We start from the raw sequence: 24038 nt of genomic DNA, 5'->3' as shown, positions 1-24038 counted from the left end.
GGTGTGGATGGGGAAGCAGTCACAGCTGACCAAAAGAGCAGTTGTAATGCAACCCACAGAAAGCTTGGTGCCAGAAGTAATTGACATAGTCGTCAAATCAATTTCCTAGGGTGCAGACACTCAAGCACTCAATCTGATTCTGTATGCTGCACAACATTTGGATTATACAGCTGCCTCTAATTCAGATAGCCTTAGCTCAATGTGAATCCAATTCAAGGAACTGTCTGGAAGTGAATGGTAATTATTTAGGCTTCCTTTCTGCAGGTTTACTGTTTTCTAGTTAAATTACCCTCTTTTGGAATTACATACATTTCACATTAATTTTTTAACATTTAGCTTATTTTTTTTTCTCTCCTTGTGTCATCTACCTCAACAACATCCACAGAACCCATCATCTTTCTTCACAAGGCACCAGTGAGGTAATATTTCAGGACAAGAAAGGCACCATGTGATGTTCTTCACATTGACTGTAGAATCAGCCACTTGATTGCAAATGTATCATACCCATGTGGAGGAGGATCAATTAATTAATTAATTATTTTTCTGTGTTTTAATTCAATGCAAGTATTCAAAGATAAATTAAATAATCTTCTGCTGCAAATAATTTTATTGGCATTCATTCATTCATTTATTTATCCCATGTTAACAGAGTGTCTGCAGCCTACCAGATACTTGATTAGATTTTGATACATGGAGAGAAGGGACAAAACTTCTGCCTTTAAAGACCTCACAGCTTAGTGAGCTGAGAAGGCAGGTAAAGAATCGTGTGAGAAGTAGAGAGAAGGTACAAAGGTCAGGGGAAGGCACAGAGAAAGTCCCTAACCCAACTGGGGTTGAGGTGTGATTGGGAGAGCAGGAAGGCACAGATTTTATAGATGCCAATATCACTGTTGAGAATTAAAAGATGAGGCAAACTTTGCCAGATTGAGAGAGGATTGTTGATATTCCAGGAAGGCCTAACACTAAAAAGAACATGGAATTTTCAAATAATCACATACCCTTCAGCACAGGTGGAACATAAGGTTTAGCAGAGAAGAAAGTAGAAAGTGTTGAGGAGGGTAAAAGGAATAGTTAGGGATTAGACACAAAGGACAAGGACTGGGACGTACTTTTGAGTTTACAGGGCATTTTCCCTCACTATATTTGGCTTGATGTTCACAGAAGCTTATAAAAACATGATTGTCCCTATTCAAAAATAAACAAGGATCAAGGCTGAGAGAGGTTGAGTCATTTACCCAATGTCACAAAGCTGGGAATTAGGCCTGGGTCTGTCTGCTTTAAAGACCACAGTAGGAATATAGCATTTACTGGCTTCTCAGTCAAGGAGTTTCTATGGTACTGGGCTCAGTCACTCATGACAAGTTTCAAACTTTTAGAAGGCAGAAAGGTGAGATGATGGGTCTGATAGCAGTATACAAAAGGGAGAAGATGAAGGAGGAAGAGTAAGTGAAATAGAAAGTAGAAGAGGAAGAAGGGGAAAATAATGTATATTAATTTCAAAACACTACAAAGCCAGTACCTTCTCAGGCATTTGTAAAGAAAGGAATTCCACCGGGGCTGCAGTCAACAAAATTTCTATTGCTGCAAAAGATGTTTATGCGAGTAGATTCAAAGATGATAAATCCCATCATTAATGAACTATTCATCTGCTATTAACTTAACATTCTATCTTTTGAAATAGGGAAGGCTGAAGGGTCAGGAAAATGAGACAGCAAGTTGATTATGAGTGTAAACTGGCTCTGCCATCATCAAGTGCAGAAATAGAAACCAAAAATGAGGATATCCGCCAAAGCTAGCGTTATTAAGGGAGCAGTGAAAACACAAAACTGATAGAAGTTAGAACTAAAAAAAAAAAAAACACTCTGAGAAGCTAGAGAAAAAAATTAAAGAAACAGGATAACTCACAGAGCAAAAGGATCTAAATAGATGGAAGGAAACAGTTAAACTGAGAAGAAATTTAAAATGAAAATAAAATAACTAAAGGAATACATACAAATCACTTTTAATAAAATGTGTTTTGTATATATTTATAAAATTATACTGCCAATTGTAGAAAACAGAGAATAAAAAATAGTAGAAAAAAAGAGAAAAATACTGCTATTTCCCTAAACAACCACGATTTGTATTTCGATGTACTTCCTTCCAGTCATTTTTCTTTAGACATTTTTACGTAATTGTGATCATAATGTGGAAAATTCTGTTCCATTTTTTCTTCTAGTATTTTAGAATAAATATTTGCAATGCTACATAATCAGTACTTATAAATAATTCCTTTCAAGCGTAGTTTAATGTCATTGGAAAATAGCTTACTGTTACTTATCTTTGAAAATAAATAGTTAGTGTATATTTTCCAAATGTATAAGATTGTCTCTTTGTTGTATTTAAAGATTTTTATAACCAAAGAAACAACTTTCCTCTTAAAGTTAAGGGATATTTAAACATGAATATATTAGAAAGTTTAATTGATAAATGACATAAACACAAATTGTGTGCATAGGTATTTTCTGCTTTGTCCAGTAATTTTAAAAAAATCTATTTTTTTACTTTCCTTGAATTTTATGAAGCCAGTTTAGATGTAGGTTGGAATCCATGGTCCATGTCATCCACGTACATGATTTATGCTTGACATCAAGCCACCTATGAGGAAAAAAAGATGTGCTGTGGGAGAAGGCAAGGATTTCACTTTATTAATACAGAAATGTAAGATCACACAAGTGGATAGAGTTAAAAACACTTCACTCTTCTTTCTAGTTAAACATCTGGGGTCACCATAGCCCTTTGGTATATCTCACTAGCTATCAGATTCATGTATTCTGACAGCCTTGTTGCATACAAATTTGTTACTTTATGGTAGATACACTTATCAAATTAATTATGTCTAGTTCCAAAACAAGTTGAATTTATTACAATCACTGTTTAATAAATGTTGCCAAAATTAACTAAATATTACCTTTCACTCTCTATATTAGTTAAATTATTATTTTGAATTATGTTTTAATACAATATATCAGTCTTCTTATCTAGCATAAATAAAGTAATATATCAGGGGAAAAGAATGGCAACACCAACATTTTTACACAGTGAAGATGAGATGATCTTCTGAATTCCCCAAAAGAGAAAAGTTATTGGTGAAACAGTAATTCTTTCACGGTGTTTTCATGAAAATATGTTATAAAGAGTAAGCCTATTCAAATTACAGTAATATGCATTTGGAGAAACAATTAGTAGAAAGAAATATGGAACTGTTTGATCTGTTGGTATTACTAGATTCAAGGTTTCAGATGAAAATATTTACTTGAAAAAAAAAAGATGCCTTTAAAATGTGCCTACTTCTAAATGGAAAGCTATTGACACAAAATAGACACTACATTAATTCAAGTAACAAAGTTTGTTCCTGTTACATGTCATCTGAGTAAACAGAAGTGAACAAAATAAACATAGCTTTTGCCCTTTGATTAGAACATGTTTCAAACTTTTTTTTCAAATTTTTTGCAAAAATGACAAAAATACAATTAATTTTAGTAAAATTCATTATTTCATATATTACTAAGAAAGCTCATAAGCTACACTTTTTGGACACAGGTATATGTGTAACAACTTGCCTGCGTTGGTTATAAAAAGCGGAGAACTACTGATATTTAGAGTTTCATGTGAGGATAAGATAATAATGACTAGCAAGAACCCTATACGTGATAACATTCTGGCCTCTCATATTATATGTTTAACTGCCTTAGCTGTATTTTTTGATATTTTAAAGTACTGGGAAATCTTTGAAGAAAATATTTCTCTTTGATCCATAGCATTTCCTGCAATATTTGGTAGTTACATTTAGGATTCATCTTTCTGAATTTCAGTGTATTTATTCAATCCAAAGAACACATTTTTAAACTAATGTGCTACATAAAATAGATGTTTGAAAACATCGTTTTATTAATTTCAATTCATATTACCTATTTCTTTCAAATGAATATCTTAAATTCTAAAGCCATAGGAGCCATGAAACATCTTTGATGTAAATAAGATTAAGCTAATAATCAACCTCAGAATTTTCAGCACTAAACATGAAAGCAAAATGAATCAGTGTTAATGATGGAGATTCTAGACCTAATGGCCCTAAGGTATCAAGACTTTTTTCTTTTAGTCAAGAAATGTATCAATTATATGTATTTTTTCGTGTGTGTGTGTGTGTGTGTGTGTGTGTGTGTGTGTATTTTTAAGGAAACCACTCTAAGTAACTTTTCGTGAGTGATGATCATGGTAGTGTTTTTCTCAAAGCTCATGCTGAGGAACAATTTCTTGTAACTTTTTTTCTGTCCAATTGACATTACACATTTATTTATGTGAGGTAGATGACTAGCCTCTAACCCCCACTGTCAGTTTCTGGTTTCAGAGAGCATTGCTCACCATGGAGTAGTTACTAAACACTTTTATTGATGCACCTACCAGTTCTAATTGCTGAACCAGTTCATTATCCTCCTGTTGCTAATAGAGTGTGCTACAAAATAAGGATGTGAGAAACTTGTTGACTCATCTATCTCACTCCCTATGCTTAGGGTGGGCTGCCTCAGGATGTTACCACCATTCGGTAATTTGATTTCATTAAAAGTAGCATTGATTTCAATTTTACCATTGTTCAAATGTACAATTCAAGAAAAGAATAACATTTGTCTTTTTTACGAGATAACATAGATGTGTCAGTCAGTACTTTAAAAACAAATACATTTGTCTACCATGATCATGAAATTAACACATTGCCTAGGGGAAAATGTATTTCATATAATAACCCAAGTGATTTATTAGCAAACATGTTATATAATGTGTGTAAAACTTAATTTATTTGAAATGAGAAGCCTAAAATATATTTCCTTACCGTTTGGGGAATAGGAGGTGACACAATGAGTCTAGAAGAAACCAAGTGTTCAGCTAAAATGTCAATTACAGCAGAAAGAATGAAAACTGTCAAAGATTTATGGCTTTATATTGCATATTTTTGCTGAGTATCTGCCCACAAAGAAGACGTTGCAGGAACTATGCAAGCTGTTAAGGTAACTGTGGAGAAGACAGCAGTGACAAAAGTGAAATGAGGAAAACTGCTTATTTAGAAGGAGAGTTCACCTTATTTGTTTTTCCATAGATATGGTGCCTCCCTCTGGAACAGAGCGCAGTTATATTTCCTGCATAGTATGGTAAGAATAATGTGTTCCTCTGGGGCCAGTGTTGGGAAAGTCTGTTTGATGAAAGATTTGGGTTTCCTAGTTCAGGATTCCTTAGCTGTGATGTAAACCCACTGTATGTGCAATATCTGTCTGTCACCCTGAAGGGGGACAAGAGGGGTCAAACATGAAGCTCATGCTGCTGCTGTGTGTTGAGTAACAACGTCCTAGTGATAGTGACAGGAGGCAGCCAAATGCCTAGGCAGATAGGAGAGGGTCCTGGTGAAACTCTACCTCCAAGCCAAAGATAGTTTAAAGCCTAAAAGCCAAGCTACGAGTTAAATCCTCAGACTGGATTGAGAACTTGTCTTCCTGATTGACGCACTTTCCTCTGATTCATCCCCACCCTTCACATATTTTACCTATACCTACCCTTTCCTAATTGGTTTTCTACACTGTCGTGCCCACCTCTGACTGGTGTCTTCGCTTTAACCCTCTTTGTACACTCACAAACCAGTCAGCACACTCTCCCCATTTTGAGTCCATAAAGGGCCCTGGACCCAGCCACCTGAGAGCCTTTCCCGTCTTCAGGTGGGGGACCACCCCATTGCGTTCCCTCTCTGCTGAGAGCTGTTCCATCGCTCAGTAAAATCTTCGCCCTCCTCACCCTTCAATGTCCAGCATATCCTCATTCTTCTTGGGCACAGTACAAGAGCTCAGGAACCACTGAATGTGGGTACAAGCTATAACACAGGCGAGCTAGGGGATGCCAGTGTGCCTGAGTGAGGCCTAAGCCGGGGGGTCACCAGCTGGGGGTCCCTGGCTTTCAAAATGACTGAGAAGAAAAATCCTGCCTCACTAGGATGCATAAAAGCAGCAGACTAACTGGTTAGGTGTAGCTAGGATAAAAATCTCAGACCCCTCACTGTCTTGACACTTCATGTGGAATTTTTTGGGGCAGGGGTTGGTATAACTGTCCATTATCCAAACTGAAACAGTTTGGATATAAGTATAACTGTCCATTATCCAAACTGAAACAGTTTACTTATATTTTCCTAGTATTATGCATTTGTCTCCTCACCCCACCTTTTCATTCTCTTTCTCTTGTGTACTTTACTGTTTTCACATCTAATGGATAGCACGTTCTGTCCCATCACTCTCTAAACTCATTGAGGTCTTTGCTGAGAGCTTTTACTTGATGCATCTATGTTCCCACCATGTGTTTTCTGCCTGTGCTCTCACGACACCAGTTGTAAAGAACTCCATTGGGTTACCATAGTTTCCTCTCATGATTCAGCAGAAGATGGCTCCATGCTCTCTAAACAGGCTCTGCTGGGCTTCCATCAAGGGCCCAAGTGGTCCAGACAGGAGGAAGAACTGTCTTTGGGTTGGATTTCAAGTATTCAAACAGGGCATATAAGCAGGGCCATTTGCCTTTCACAGTGTTAGAGCTATTTTGTTTTCTTTATATGCAATGACTAAAAAGAACTAAATGTTGCATAGAACATGAATATGTAGGACCAAATATTTGAAGGAAAGGTACTTATGATAAAAAATACCTGCGTCAGTTGCACAGCAGACTGTAGAAGCCACACTTTAGGACTTTGTCTAAAGGACATCAAAATGTCACCCAAAGGTGATTCACATAAAGTGATTCATATAAAAATGTAATTATATGATGTCCTAAAACTGACTATAAAAGCACAAAACCTAAACTAAATTTCAGCTCAGAAAAAAATACTGGCCTCTTGTTCTTTAGTACTCTGTACAGAGATCATGGAGGAGTTTCAAACATCATGCATTTCAGTGTGGCATGATATTAAATTTAGTCAATGTGTGAAATCTCTGCAGAAAATAGGTGGGAGGAAGGATGAAATTTTTTTCTGCCAAGTAATTCCTCTGAGCCATGAAAATAAGCACTAGCCATGAGTTCTGAATAAAACCAAGGTCGTACTAATCACAACATTCCATAAGTATTTTTTTTTAAATGAAGTCTCACTCTGTTGCCCAGACTGGAGTGCAATGGTGTGATCTTGGCTCACTGCAACCTCCGCCTCCTGTGTTCAAGCGATTCTCTTGCCTCAGTCTCCCCAGTAGCCGGGACTAAAGGCGCCTGTATTTGTATTTTTAGTAGAAATGGGGTTTCACCATGTAGGTCAGGCTGGTCTCAAACTCCTGACCTCAAGTGGATCCATCCACCAGCCTCAGCCTCACAGAATACTGGGATTACAGGCATAAGCCACTGTGTCCAGCCCCATAAGTAATTTTATATGCTTAGGTAGTTCTTTTAGTTTTTTTTCTGGCTTTATTTTCCAGGGGCTGTGCTAGATTTCCCACAGGCAGGCATTGTACATCAGAGCCTTGTGGAGTTTATTGTCTCAGGAAGACAAAACAGAAGGTGGAGAACATAGAAGCTCATAATGTTGCCCTTGAAGTCTAAGCTCTGAGACTAAAGAGGCCTTAATATGAGGTTATTTGGGTAGCTTCTAAATTGACTTCCTGTAGGTGAGTGTTTGTTTGTCGTTGTTGCATTCCATGCTGGAGCAAAACATCATTACATTGGTAACTTCTAAGATGTTTACAAATGGGTGCAGAGTTAGTTTAAAAAAAAAAATCGGGACAAATAAAAACCTTTACAAATCCAATACTTTTCTTAACTTTTCTTCAAAGTCAGATTAATCTAGGTCCTTTTATGAATACATCTTCCCTTCATTCAATACAAGGAGCCCCCAGGATTCTCCTAGCATAGGTACAAAGAGACCACAGTACAGAGAATGACTGAAGGGTTCCTTTTTGGTTGAGCCTTGATGACTCTGAGAACTTACCCACAGAAGAGAACGCCCTTTTGAATTAGATGTACTATGTGTTGGATTTGATGTTGACAAATTTCACATCTATAATTTCTCCTTCAAAAGCAACAGTTATAATCAGGGTCATGACATTTCCTCCCAACAACACACAATTGATTCCTCACTTCTGCTTTGTTTTGAAAATGCAGAACAGGCATTCAGGGGCTAAATATCAATACCGTGAAAAATGGAAAGATGTCAAGAAGAACCATTTGCAGCCGACCATGTGCCTGCTCTGAGAGCCAGTTACACAGCTCAGCAAATACACAGCATGCACTTGTCTAGAGGAAGATGAACTGCAAATAAATTATTAAGCTTTTCCTACTGGCAGATAGGACATTTTCACATAGACTGCAATGCGTGTCATCACATACAGCAAAAGGATAAACAGGCATGGACCAGCTTGAGAAAAATTGATAGTGACTGGTGCATCCTTATTCATAGCCACTTCTTTCCAGATTAAGAAAGCTTCAAACAGCAATTTCTATAATAATCCAATAGAACTCTTTACAGATCCCCAAAATCACCAAAAAAATAAAAATAAAAAACCAAACCACATAAGTTCCACCACTGATTAGAAACTAAGAATTTTAATTTGCTGGTTCAAATAGTTGCTGAATAGCCAAACCAGATTGTATATTAAGGGAGGTGAATGTGTTGAAGCATACAGTTGGAAAGAAGGTAAAAGATGAAAACTTATTTTCTTGTTATTCTATGCTAAGAATATCTGCTCTTTTCAATCTTATGAACAATTCTCTTTCTCCTGAGTCACAGATGTCTATCTGTCTCTGCCTATGTTAATAAAAAGAGACAATTTGAGGCAATAGGTGTGGTAACTTTGATTTAGGAAGAGAAAAAAAGAGAGGCTAGTGTAGAAATGAGACCTAAATGAACATATTATTGTTCTATTAAAAAAACAGTGTAATAACTATTAACTAATAACAAAGTGGTGAAGAAAATAGCCAAAAAAATAAGAAAGGAAAAAAAGACATTCACTGTATTTGTGTGAAAAAGGTGTCAAGGATTGGAAATGCTTGAGTAAAAAGAAAGTATTGAGAGTCTATCCTTTTGATCAATAGCAGGGAAAGCAATTAAGAGCAATTTTGTGGTCAATCCAAGCTTCAACTCAGAGCAAGATCACTGAGTCGAATTCGTGCTCCATCCTCTACGTTCCCTTTTCTGTAAGGGAGCATGTGGTGAGAAAATACTTTTGCAGAGTATCTAGCTCACAACAAATCTTACCCAGCAAATCTTTCATGAATCTATATATGCACAGGACATTCAGATGGGTTAATTTTATTTTATTTTTTAAATGCTTGCCTGTGGATGGAGACGTGCTTCTGATTTAATAGTGTAACTATAAAAAGTGGCAGCTTCTGTTGAATTTAACATCACAAAGGATCAGAAGAGTTGTGCAGGTATCTCTGGAAAAATCAAGATGAAATCTAAACTCTAGCTAAATATCTCAATGCGACTTCACTATGGCCACTCACCAATTCGACAAATGTATCAAAGTAAGTGACACGAGATTGTACATAAAGAACTTTCCACCCTCACTAGCATCTGGTTCTGTACTTCCTTTCCAGCAGATGCAAAAGGGATCTGAAATTGTAACACAATATCACAGACAGACAAATCTTGATGGCCTGAGAGGCCTATTTACATCCTACTCAGTAACTCAGCCAAAAGATGGCTCAGTGGATGTGACTTAGCTCAATGGGAGAATTGCTGATACTAAAGGCTGAGTCACAGAAGCTCTGTGGACCGGGACTTTCACTCTGCGTATTCTGCTGCTCTGAAAGCTGGGTCTCTCTCCCGGAACCCTGTTTGTGGTACAGTCTGCCCAGCGTACCTGGCTTGACTATGCTGTGACCATCAGAGCTAGGTGATCTTGGATGCTTTTCTGCTTCTCAGTTAGTACAGTTTTCTCCTTAAATCCTAAGTATTTCCGCACCTTGTGGTGTTGATGTTATGTGTGCCTGTTTGGCCTCCTTTGGAACAGCAACTATACGACAAAATTAGCAAAAACTAAGCTGACAACTAACTTTGTTCCTTCAGAAGTTCTCTGGCTGCTGTCCTAGACACTCAATCCTGGCCTTAGATTCCACTTGACTTCTCTTTTTTTCTAAAGAACTCTCCTAGGACTCTAAATCCAGTCGACCTTGCTTTACTGCAGACACAGGCTGTGCCTGTGTCTGTGTGTGTGTTTTATTCTATTATTTTAATAAATAATAATAATAAAACACTTTTCTATGTCAGGCACTCTTCTAGCTGCCTTATGAGTATTAATTACTTTTGTTCTCATAACAGCTTTATAGGGTAGACAGTATTATTATTCCCATTTTAAAAATAAGGAAAATCAGCCACAGAGTCAAGTAGTTTGCCCAAGCTCACCTGGCCAGGAACTGGCAGAGTCCAGCTTGGATCCAGGTTTTCTGGCTTCTAGCTTCCTGTCTGTGTTGTCTCCCACTATGCAATGCTGCTCTCTACACAATCCTTTTCTTTTTAAAATAAAAAAATAAAACTCAAAATGTACAAAATATTTTGTGAAAGAAAGTCCTTTCATCCCCCAGTTACCCAGCATTCAGGTTCCTCTCTCTCTGGAAATCACCATTACTGCTGCATCCTTGAGTAGGCTTTCAGACTTATTCTATGTAAATAAGGGTAATAACAATATCTATTTTTTTTTCATTTTGTTCATGGAAGTTTCAGCTTACTAAATGGATTATTTAACATCTTGTTTTGTTTTTTCGTCACTTCATTTTGTACCTCTTTTATATCAGTTTATAAAACATGGCTTCATTCTTTTTAAATGGCTGATAGCTTTTCCCATATATGAGTGTAACAAATTTATCTGACCATTCTTCAATTAAATTATATAATTAAGTTGTTGCAAGTCATTTGCCATGCATAATGTCTTACATGTCATGTTACATATCAGTGAATGTTTCAGTTACATGAATTTCTGAAAATGGAATCCTGAGTTTTAAAATATCTTGATTTTTAATTTTTACTGCCAAATTGTCCTTTACAGGGGGCTGTGTTCATTTATGTCCCCACCAACAATGTGTGAGTGTTTCCCCCACCCTTGTCCACAAAGAACATTTTTGGACTCTGCCAATGCACATTTGGGTCTTTGCCAATCTGAGTTGAAGATAATATCTCATTGTACTTTTAATATCAATTTTTATATAATTAAGCTAAGAAATGTTTCTTTTCCCTGAATGCTTGTTATATTTTCTACTTCTTTCCATTGTTTCATCAGACTTCTTATAGATTTGTAGGAGCATTTTCCATGTTAAGGGGCTAGCCCTTTGGTATTATGTAAATTGTAATTTTTATTTCTCTGATTGGCATGTGTCTTTTGACTTTATTTATTTTGAGTCATAAAAGAATTATTTGTATATAGTCAATTTAATCAATCATTTGTTTTATTGACTTCAGAGATTTATTTCTTACTTAGAAAAGCCTTTGCATTCCTGGAGTTAAAACATTTTTCCAATTTTTTTCTTGTAATTTATGGTTGCATTTTTGTTTTTACATTTATATGTTTTATATATCTTATGAATAAAAAGTGGAGCTAAAATCCAGTTTCTTTTTTGTTTATTTTCCCAAACAGCTATTCTGTCCTATTGCTTTTCTACTATTTTAAAAATACTATTGCTTTCCTGTTTTGAAATATTAATTGTATCATAAATTGTTTTATGTATGAGTCCACTGATACGTTTTCTATTCTGGTCCTTTGATTTGTATATTCGTGTGCCAGTGCAAAACTCTTTTAATTGTTACCGTTTTATACTACGTTTTGATACCTAGTAGGGCAAACCATGTCTCACGGCTCTTCAGAGTGTTTTGGTTGTTATTGCTTGTTCAAGGTTTCTATATGAATTTAAGAATCATCTTGTCTAATTAAAAAAATGCCAGGTTTTTTTAGTGGTCATATTAACTTTATATATTAACTTAGGCAGGACCCACGTCTGTATGTCAATGTGAATACAATGTATGATAGGGAATACTCCAAGAAAGAAAGATACTTTCCATTGGCTTAAGTTTCCTTCTGGATCCCGTAGTAAAATTTTAGATTTTTTTTTTTTTTTTTTTTTTTTTTTTAATGTGAGAAATAAAGCTTTTAATCACCTGGGTGCAGGCCGGCTGAGTCTGAAAAGAGAGTCAGTGAAGGGAGATAAGGGTGGGGCCGTTTTATAGGACTTGGGTAGATAAAGGAAAATTACAGTCAAAGGGGGGTTGTTCTCTGGCAGGCAGAGTGGGGGTCACAAGGTGCTCGGTAGGGGAGCTTTTGAGCCAGGATGAGCCAGGAGAAGGAATTTCACAAGACAATGTCATCAGTTAAGGCAGGAACAGGCCATTTTCACTTCTTTTGTGGTGAAATGTCATCAGTTAAGGCAGGAACCGGCCATCTGGATGTGTATGTGCAGGTCACAAGGGATATGATGGCTTACCTTGGGCTCAGAGGCCTGACATTTTCTACTTTTGTTTTTTCCCTTTGATTTATATTTAGCAATTTTTAAAGAATATCATAAATATTTCTTTTTACAATCTGTCCTATTTCATACACATTGCCACCACTGGTACTGTAGACTTTTCATCCACCACATATCCAAAGTGGCTGTTGTTTTTGTTTATGAAGGCTATTGGTGTCTATATTAATTTATTTTTGTTTTACTTATTTCTTGTCCTCTACTGATGTCCTCTAATTTATATTCTGCTGATTGCCATTTCTTCCCTGAGAATTTATACCTCTCTTTTGTGCTTTTCGGTTATAAACTATTTACTTTATTAGGTTTTTAAACTTCTGGGAAAATGTTTGATCACAACTTTCGTATGTACTATGGCAAGACTTTTAAAAAAATGTTCTTTTTTCTGTAATCCCAGCACTTTAGGAGGCTGAGGCCGGCGGATCACAAGGTCAGGAGATCGAGACCATCCTGGCTAACACACTGAAATCCCGTCTCTACTAAAAATACAAAAAATTAGCTGGGCATGGTGGCGGGCACTTGTAGTCCCAGCTACTAGGGAGGCTAAGGCAGGAGAATGGCGTGAACCCGGGAGGCAGAGCTTGCAGTGAGCCGAGATGGTGCCATTGCACTGCAGCCTGGGCGACAGAGCAAGAAAACTTGCACAGATCAAGGAAATGTAATAATTGAAGAACACAATAAATCAACTAGACTTAGCACACATATAGAAAACTCTACCCAACAACAGGATAATATATATTCTTCTGAAAAGTACATGAAATAGTATCCAGGATCTATTGGGACAAAAAACAAATCTCAATTTATAAAGATTGAAATCATGTATTGTAACTTTTTTGACCACATGAAATTAGAAATCAATAAGAAAAAAAAATCTAGAAAATTCACAAATACGTAGAAATTAAACAGTATACTCTTAAATACTCAGTGGGCCAAAGAAGAAATTGTGATGAATATTAGTAAATGCTTTGAAAGGAATAAAAAGCATAGATAACATACCAAAACCTATAGGATATAGTAAAGCAGTTCTCAGAGGAAAATCTAAACCTGTAAATGCCTAAATTAAAAGAAAATAAAGATTCTCAAGTTAATAACCTAAGGTTCCACCTTAAGAAAATAAAAGAAAAAGAGCAAAAAACACAAAGCAAGCTGATGGAAAAAATAATAAATATTAGAGCAGAGATAAATGAAATTGAGAATAGAAAAACAATAAAGATACTCAATAAAACCAAAAGTTGTTTCTCTGAAAGGTTAAAAAATGACAAATATTTGATAAGACTTATCAAGAAAAACAGGGAAACTTGATTTACTAAAATTAGAAATAAATTGAGGATGTTACTACCCACCTTACAGAAATGAAATGATTATAAAACAATACATGAACCAGTGTATTCCACCAAATTAGGTAACCTAAATGAAATGAAAAAATTTCCAGAAACATACAAAATACCAACACTGACTCAAGAATAAGTAGGAAATCTGAATGGACCTATAAAAAGTAAATTTATTGAGTCAATAATAAAAAAACCACCATCAACAACATCAAAAGACTCAAGACTCAGTGGCTTCACTGGTGAATTATACCAAACATTTAAAGAATTCAAAGAAATACTTCTCAAACTTTAACAAAAAATAAAGAAGAGGTAAAAATTTCTGAACTCATTCTATTAGGACAGCATTACCCTAATGTCAAAGCCAGACAAAAAGGTCACAAAGATCACTTGTAAATGTATTAAAAATTATTCTAAAAATACTAGTAAACTGAGTCTGGCAGCATGCGACAAAGGTTATACCCCATGACCAAATGGGATTTACCCAAGGAATTTATCCTAAGTTAAACATAAGAAAACCAATCAATATAATATTCCATATTGGCAGAAAAAGGAAAAACTAACATGATGATCTCAGTTGATAGAGAAAATGACAAGATCTAATGTCCTTTCGTTATAAAAAGACTCAGAAAACTCAGAGTAGAAGGAAACTTCCTCAGGCTTGAGACAGGGCATTTGTTAAAAAATATAAAGCTAATATCCTTCTTAACTGTGAAATACTGAAAGCTATCCCCCTAAGATCAAGAATAAGACAGATATCTACTCTCAACATATGTATTCAATATTATACAGAAGTTCCAGCAAGGGCAATTAGACAAGAAAAAATATAAGTGTCAGCCAGATTGGATAGGAAGAAATAGAACTATCTTTATTCACAGGTGCCATGACAATATGTATAAAACTAAAAAAAAAAAAACCCTGCAAAAAAACTATTAGACTGATAAGTACATTAGGCAAAGTTGCCTGATACAACATCCACACACAAAAGTAAGTTCTATTTCTATGTAGTGTCAATGATTTATTTGAAAACAAAGTTAAGAAAACAGTTCTCTTTATAACAGCATAAAAATCACTTACAAATGAATTAAAATAAGGAAATGCAAGACACATAAACTGAAAACTAAAAAATATTTTTGAAAGATATTAAGGAAACCTAAATAAATGGAAAGACATCCTGTGTTCATTATTGATATACTTAATATTATTTAGATAGCAATACACTGCAAATTGATCTATGAATTCAGTCCAATGCCTATCAAAATTCCAAATGCCATTTTGCAAAAAATGGACAAGTTAATTCTGTAATTTATACTGAATTGCAAGTTTTCCCAAATAGTCAACATTTTTGAAAAAGAAAAACAACGTGGAAAGACTCATAGTGCCTGATTTCAAAACTTAAAATAAAGCTACAATAATTAAAACAGTGTGGTACTGGTCTGAGGATAAATAAAGAGATCAGTGGAATGGAATTGACAATCCATGAATAAATCCATATATCTATGGTCAATTGATTTTTGACAAGGGTGCCAAGATTATCAAATGAAAATGTTGGAAAGAATAGTCTTTCCTACCAATAGTACGAGAACAACTGTATGTCCATATTTAAAAGAATGAATTTGGACACTTACCTTACACTATATACCAAAGTTAACTCAAAATGTATCAAAGATTTTGAATTAAAAGCTAAAAATGTAAAACTCTCAGAAGAAAGTATAAATGAAAATTCTCATGACCCTAGATTAGGAAACAGTGTTTTATGTATGATGCTAAAAGCAGCCAAAAAAAAAAAAAAAAAAAAAAGAGACAGAGAGATAAATTGTGCTTCATTAAAATTAAGAAGTCTGTGCATCAAACAATACTATGAAGAAAGTGAAATGGGAGAAAATATTTGCTTGTCATATATTTGATAAGGGTCTAGTGTACAGAATACATAAAGAATCCTTAATTACAAAAATACAAACAACGCTATTTTAAAATGGGCAAATAATTTGAATAAATAATTTCAAAAAATATAAAAATGGCTAATTATATACATGGTAAGATGTTTAAAACCATTAATTATTAGGGAAACAAACCACAATGAGATAGAACTTCATATCCACTAATATGGCTATATTTCTCAAAAATCTGAGAAATAGCAAGTGTTGATGGGGATGTAAAGAAATTGGAAACCTCATGCATTGCTGGTGGCAATGTAAAATGGTACAGCCACTATGAAAAACAGGTTAGTGATTCCTCATAATGTTGGGACACAGAATTACCTTATGACCCAGCAATTCTATTTCTACATATATACCCAAGAGAAATGAAAGCAGTTGTCCAAACAAAAACTTGTACTTGAATGTTCATGCAGCACTATTTATAATAGCCAAACAGTGGAAAGAGCCCAAATGTCCTTTAACTGAGGAATGAATAAACAAAATGATCTATCCATACAGTGGTCTACTATTCAGCTATAAAAAGCAATGAAGTACTGATGTATGCTACAATATAACTGAGCCTCAAAGAAGCCAGCACAGAAGATTACATATTGTATGGTTCCATTTATATAAAATGTCCAGAATAGGCAAATTAATAGAAACAAAAAAATTGATTAGTAGTTGCCAAAGAATATAAGGAAGGATATCTTAGGGTTTCTCAGAGAAACAGGACCAATAGGAGATATATACTTATATAAGTACATATAAATACTTATATAAGTATATATAAATACGTATATGTGTATATAAATACGTATATATAAATACGTATATATGTATATAAATACATATATGTATATAAAATATATATGTTATAAATATATAAATATATATTATATAAAGTAATATATATTAGTTTATATAAGTATATTTATTTATATACTTATTTATATACCTATATACTTATATAAGTATATATTTTATATATTTATACATATGTATATATTCTGTAGTATATTAGATAGGTAGATAGACATAAGATAGATAGATATCTTGTAAAATACATAACATACACACAGGTTGAGCATTCCAAATATGAAAATGTAAAATATGCTCTGAAATAGAAAAATTCTTCAGTGCCACCAAGATGCTCAAAGGAAATGTTCATCAGAGCATTTTGGATTTCAGATTTGCGGATTTGAGATGCTCTGATTCCAAGCATTTTGGGGGATACTCAACCCGTATTGTGTGTGTACACATACATACAATATGTCTAACTGTATCTTATATAATGTATATATATGGGATCTATACATGTTTTTCTCCCTCTGTCTCTCTACATATATACATGGAGAGAGATTATGAGGAATTGGCCATGCAATTATGGAGGCTGAGAACTCCCACGATCTGCCATCTGTGAGCTGAGGACCCAGAAAAGTTGGTGGAGTAGTTCAATTCAAATCTGAAGACCTCGGAATTAGAAGAGACAATGGTGTGAATTTTAGACTGAGGCCTGGAGAAGGCCAATGTTCCAGCTCAAGCAGTCAAGCAGAAAGGGAAGAATTATTTCTTCCTCAGTGTTTTGTTCCATTAAGACCCTCAATAGATCAGCAGATACCTGCTCACATTAGGGAAGCTAATCTGATTTAGTGAGTGCCCTGATTCAAATGCTCATCTCATCCAGAAACACCTTAACAGACACAATCGAAAATAATGGTTAGCCAAATACATGGATGTCCATGGCCCAGTTAAGTTGACACATACAATTAACTATCACAAAGATAGAATGGAGGACAAACTGTTTAATCAATACAGAGTTTCTGTGGGGTAAAAGTGTTATGAAATTACTGGTGATGGTTGCATTTTGAGTACAATTAAAACTATCAATATGTACACTTGAAAATGGTTAAACTGATAAATCTTATGTTAATTTTATCTCAAATTGAAATACTATCAGCCTGTTGCAGTGGCTCACACCTGTAATTCCAGCACTTTGGGAAGCCGAGGTGAGCGGATCACTTGAGGTCAGGAGTTTGAGACCAGCCTGGCGAACGTGGCAAAACCCCGCCTCTACTAAAAATATAGAGATTGGGCTGGACACGGTGGTGCGTGCCTGTAATCCCAGCTCCTTGGGAGGCTGAGGGAGGAGAATTGCTTGAACCCGGGAGGTGGAGGCTGCAGTGAGCCAAGATTGCGCCACTGCACTCCACCCTGAGCAACAGAATGAGACTCTGTCTCAAAAAAAAAAAAAAATTATCTGGGCATGGTGGCACGCACCTGTAATCCCAGCTACTCAGGAGGCTTGAGGCAGGAGAATTCCTTGAACCTGAGAGATGGAGGTTGCAGTGAGCCGAGATCGTGCCACTGCACTCCAGGAAGAAATATATTTTGAAGTGTATTCATCGGTATCACCTTGGTGCTAAAGAATTTACAGTTAGCTCCCCTAGTGAAATTCATATTACTCTACATAATTAGCAACATAGAGAGTTCTGAGAAATAATTAAGCAAAGTCTTGAAGAAATTATGTAGAGTAATATAATTATAATAGTGGAAATGATGTTTTTCTATATAGAGGTAAAACTTACTATCTATGGTAGGATTTGTCGGGGGCGGGGGGTTCAGATTTAGAAAAATTTAGAATCCCATGGAAATAGAGAAAAGTCAAATACCCTGGCAATGTTTGTTCTTAATGCAACTTGAGTGGAATAAGAACGGGACCAAGACACCGGAACTTGGAGAATGCACTGCCAATTGCGTTGTTTTTTACACCAAAAATTACTGGTACCAGGTTGTCTGCCTGGCAAAGTTTTTTTGTGTCCTTGCCCTTCCTTTCTACCTTTCCCTATCATCTTTCCTCATTGATCAGGTGAAAAATTCTTTTTCAATTTACCAACAATAAAAACATCCTGAATTTCACTAGGGGAGCTAACTGTAAATTCTTTAGCACCAAGGTGATACCGATGAATACATTTCAAATATATTTCTACATGGAGGACTTTGCATTTTATCAGGTAGCAGAAGACCTGCAAAGGGTTGGATCTCTGTCAGGGGTATTTTAAACATTTTCTATATGTTTCTTTTAGACTTAGGAATATTTATAAGACCTCTAAGATTTTACCATGTGGGTGTACACCTGCTCTGACCACCTGCAAGGTTAACCCTGTGTCTATTTGGTGCTCAAATCTCCCCTTACCACCTGGAATCTTCCTTCCAACAAAGCTCTGTGATTGAAAATATTCCATCCTGTGCTTCTGTTCTGTTTCTCAATGTAATAGGAAGTTGAGAAGGGCACTGGTGGTGGTTGGGGTTGGTATGGAATCTATCCTGCTCTCCTGGATTTGTCTTTCCACTCCACAAGGACATATTGCTGCCTGGGTTCTTATAGCTCTGTGGCAGATGCCGCGGGCTCCGTCCACTTGGTGCCCAGAACTTGGCAGTGCTGACAGAAACACACAGCAAGGATAAGCTGATGGGCAAAAGTAGCATCTGCCCTTGTCACAGGTAGGAAGGGCTTGCTCTTCATATAGAGGAAAATAGGGCAAACAGGGTGGTGAGGTTATGTGTGAAAGCTAAAATCTGCTCTTTGAGCAACAACCTCCAGAGATAGTTTGTCCTTCCTACAGGGGCTAACATGGACACGTTTCTATGATCTCTAGCATAACACTCAAAAGAGAACGTTTTCTTAGCCAGCATTAGCTAGGGTTGCTCTAGGTGGATCACCATAAAGGAAAGACAGAAATAATTATGTACTTGAGAATAGAATTATTAAGTGAGGGGGGAGGCATGTCTCATTTTTACATTGGCAGTAATAGGAACAAAGTAGATAAAAGTGTAGAAAGAATGAAAGGCAACAGGAGTGGTTCAGTGGAGGGCAGTAGAGAAACTGGTAGCATTAGCATCAAAGGAGAAAACATAGTTCGAGGGGTCAACTATTTGGGAAGCTGAAGACAGGGAGGACACTTACCTTAAAATTAGAAAACCAAAAGGAGCTCAGAGGAAAGGATATTCCAAAACCAAACCAGATATAGCTGCTTGGAATTTTTATTTAATTTAAATAGTGAATTCAGTGAAAAGGTTTTCAAAGTACAAATGAAAAGCCAGAGAATTTAGAAGGCCAGGTGGAGATAAAAGCAGAGAGGCAGCAGGACTTGAAAGGAAAGTTGAATTTTACATCTTCTCCTAAGTTATTTGTGATTTCATTATTTCTAGTTGGGAAATGACTAGAGAATTGTTCTTGCTTATAGTTGTAACCAAGTAGTAATTTATTTCATTTTTAGTACCTCCACTTTCAAAATGACAGGTCCACCCAGACAGGACTTTCCATCAGTATTTGAAGAGGGTGCATTTCTTCTTGTGCAAGAAAATAGAGCTTATCTAATTTTCTTCTGTCCTAGGGGTATGATCTAACATCTAATATTTACTCTGTAGGAAACAAAGTTTCCTTTTTTTTTTTTTAGGTTCACTACTCCCAGGGTAGTGGAAAGATAGTCATTCAGGCAAGTTGGCGCTGGCTAAATAATACCTGATATTTATCTGCATATCAGCAAATCAACCAGTTATTTCTGTTCTGAATAATTTAGAAAAACAAAGCTGGCCTATTGCTTTGAATAGCAGCATTTCTTTCAAAAACAGTCTCTCTAGATAAGCCCATATCTCAGTGCTGTGTTAAAGACTGTCTATACTATAAAGAATCAAATTAGTATCTAATCTTGCACTTGAACCTGCACAAAAAGGTTTTTGTAGAAAAGAAAAACAATGCTGGAGAAAACTATACTTCCTGAGCTTTTCAAAGTCTTTTAATCATAACACAGCTGAGATGCTGCTTCCTGAGTAATGATCCTTTGTTTCAAACAATTACTAAAGTTGTTTTAGTATAAGTTTGATAATAAAATAAATAGGAACCAAAACCAATGTTGAAGCAGATTGCTTGCTAATTCTTCTCTTGGCTGCTCCAATTCTTTAAACCTTGCCTTTGTAAACATACAGAACAGCAAAATAGATTAGACACTGAGAATTGCTAAAGAGCCTTGAGGTCACGGACTCCCACCCTCTCTTTTTACCTATGAGTAAATTGAAGCTTAAAGTGTTAGGTGAATAGCTGTGGGTGGAGAGCTGCTGTGACTAGGTCTCAAGATTATTTTTCTCTGGCTCTCATGTCCTTTTACTCCTGTTTTTGATATCCTTTCAGTGTACATTTCCCCAATCAAAGCACTTGGTGCATGGTTTTATGAGTTCATGTTTAATTGTCATTCACTCTTACTGGGCTAAAATCTCCATGAAGGTAGGAAATAAGATCGCAGGTTCTGCAATACACTATATAGTTAATTTTATAAAGGTTTTCTCTCTCCTCCTTAACTGCAAGCTCTCTGGAGGTAGTCTATCACTTTTATTCCTCTTATATATCCATGCTTACATCCCCCAACTCCTAGTATAACATCTTATACGTGGCAGACATGAAGACTTGTAAATGAAGAAAAATCATGCTCTACAGCTCTTAGGGAATGCATATTTGTGTCCACCTAAAATTCATACATTGCAACCCTAATCCCCAGTGAAATGATATTTGGAAATAGGGCTTTTGGAAGGTGAGGGTGGAGGCCTTGAGGGTAGAGGCCTCATGATGGGATTAGTGCCCTTATTGAGTGGACTCTGGGCTGCCTCATGCTTATGGAATTTTGGGGGAGCAGTTTCTCAAGAAGTGTTTGGTTAAACACTAGTTTCTTGGGATGTTCCCACAAATAAAAGGATTCTGAGATCAAACCATTATGAATATCCTGCTTTTTTAGGCCTTCATTTGGAGATCTCCAAATGTAAAATAGCATTTATTAAAGTCTCCAAATTCACAAGAAACCTATTTATAACAATTCAGTATTTCAAGACCTTCTTAAACAAGAAGACTTTTAAAAACATAACACTTCTTAATATCCTGCAATACCACTTTTGGATAGGCAATACAGAAACACAAACATGAGCCATGAACTGTTCTAGTTAAAGTTCTGAAAAAGAAAGATAGAACATTAGAGAGTAGAACTTAAGGATCCCATTACAATGAACAAATATATATTTTTAAATAATAATTTTGAAAACTCTCATTTCAAAAATTCAAGATTGTTGCCCTCAGACTTGAGTTTAATAAATACATCTACAAAACAATGTTGTAATATACCTCCATTTAACAAGAAGGTCTTATAACTCTTTTAATTTATCTGGATTTTAAAAGCATTTGCTTGACAGATTTTAGATGAGCAGCTAATCTGTCATTTACAGAAGGGATAGTGATGAGTGGGGGCACTGCTTAATTCATTCATATGCTCTTTTATCTGTTGATTTAATTTATTTAGCTCATTCTTTACTAAAAGTATTGACAGCTGGGTAAAATATTCAATCACAATCTTGCAGGTTAAAAAAAAGAGATGTTGATATCAGGCTCAGGACAGCGGGAGAAAGCTGGGATGTTTCTGATCCCAGGAGGAAAGGAAAATGTGATTGACTGATGGTTATCTGACCTATTTTATTCTGAATTGTCATGGATGCCACAATAGTGGTGAAGAGCTTCATGCATGTGACAGGTATTCACCAAAGGTTTTTTCCGCATTGTGTGTAATCATGAACACAATTTCTCATCCACATTGTTTCTGGGTTGAATTTTTGTGAAGGTTGAGATTATTTTAGAATCCTTTGTTAGGGTTGTGATTAAAGCAAATCAGAAGCGAGAACCGTGTTGATATTTTGTATATGGAGAGAAGGCCATTTCATGTTCCCTGGACTTTAAAGGTTTTTTTTAATGTGTTTATTCTATTTTCAATTTTAATTTTAATTTTTTTAAATTTAGTTCTCAGAATTCTTGCTCATTGGCCATGAAGCTATCCAGAGAGTTAACAAGACACTATTTAAACTGTAAAAACTGCTTTTGTTTTTTATTTTGTTGCTTTCGATGGTCATAAAGCTAGGGGTGAAAATATTTGGAATAGCAGTAAGAGGATTCAATTTGTATTCTTATAAAACAATAGTTTGCTTTTTAGTAAAATTGAGAAAAATCACCCATACTAATAATTTTTTTTGGTGTGTGGTCTGATTAATCTTTGCTCTAATGGACACTGTAGAAGAAGAAATGTAGGCTTGCATGGAAATAATATAAAAATAGAGAGATCAATCTAGAGATTTCATAAGTTGAGGTAATCCAAGATTCTATAGCTTTTGTGAAGACTGGTCTTGGATTTTGACTTTTTTCTGAATGAAATTCTTGAAATGTTATCCTCCAGTGGGGATTCCTCCCTCTGAGATATCTATTTGCATGATCTCATGGTCACAAGGTCCCAGGTTAGAACAGCTTTTGCACAAGTGCCAAGTGTCTCAGAGAAGTTGACCCAAAGATCAAATTTAACAGGTGTATATTCATTTAATAAGTACATAATGAGCACCTACTATTAAATTCTGGGTGTTGAGCAGTGAACAAGTGAGACTTGATTTCTGCTCTCATGGAGCTTGTAGAGTAGGGATAGAGATAAGATATAAGCCAATTCAACAAAAAGTACATATGTAATGTCTAATTGTGATAATACCAATAAGTGAAAAGGACAGTATTTTTTGAAGACTAACATAAGAAATCCAAATCAGATGGAGATGAAGTCAGAGATATTGCTTGAGGAAGTGGTATTTAAGCTGAAATCAAAAAGATGAATAGAAGATCATTAAGACAGAAGGTGGTTTAGGGGGTGAGGGTAGAGCCAGAGGAGGGATAAATGTATTTTACACAAAAGAAACAGCACCTGTAAAAGGCCTTGCAGAAAGTGTGTGGAATTTCTGAGGAACTAAGAGAAAGCCAGTGTGACTCAATTTAATGTACAAGGGAGAGGGTAAGTCAAAATGAAGTTGGAGAGAAGAGCAGTGTCAAAATCATCAGGTCTTATGCACCAAGTTATTATGTTGGATTTTAGCCCTAATTGAGTGTTCTTAAATAAGGTGGGGGTTAAAGTTGCATCATTTATGTTTAAAAAAAATAGTGTGGCTATTATATGAAGAATAGATGGTAGAGTGTTAGCAATAGATATGGCAAGATTGGAAGCAAAGAGAATACTGAAAAATTATTGTACTACCCTATGTGAAAAATAGCTGTCACTTGGATTAGAGTGGTGTTAGTGGGGACAAAAATAATTTGCATTTGCCATAATTGTAGAAAAATAATTGAAAGAACTTGATGATTCATTGGTTTGAGAACATAAGGAGCAGAGATTTGCCTAGAATAATTCTGTATTTGTGGCTTATGCAAAGAATGGATAGAGCTGCCATTTAC

At 35.6% G+C, this 24038-nt stretch overlaps 1 long non-coding RNA gene across 1 annotated transcript in view, besides 1 other annotated feature; it reads left to right on the top strand.

Annotated features, from left to right (window-relative positions):
* LINC01414 (long intergenic non-protein coding RNA 1414) overlaps positions 1-24038 on the top strand; it is a 511616-nt gene that overhangs the window by 467875 nt on the left and 19703 nt on the right. The window lies entirely within an intron of this gene.
* Positions 12083-12827: an enhancer, noted in NCBI's record as "OCT4-NANOG-H3K27ac hESC enhancer chr8:64800414-64801158 (GRCh37/hg19 assembly coordinates)". NCBI's record gives its function as "activates a minimal SCP1, AML or CMV promoter by ChIP-STARR-seq in naive H9 embryonic stem cells {active_cell/tissue: H9 hESC(naive)}" and the evidence as "EXISTENCE:reporter gene assay evidence [ECO:0000049][PMID:30033119]".

Source organism: Homo sapiens, chromosome 8, assembly GCF_000001405.40.
Source record: "Homo sapiens chromosome 8, GRCh38.p14 Primary Assembly".
NCBI classification, from domain to species: domain Eukaryota; kingdom Metazoa; phylum Chordata; class Mammalia; order Primates; family Hominidae; genus Homo; species Homo sapiens.
The sequence above is the reverse complement of the archived record's forward strand: the minus strand, read 5'-3'. Positions and strand labels throughout refer to the sequence as shown.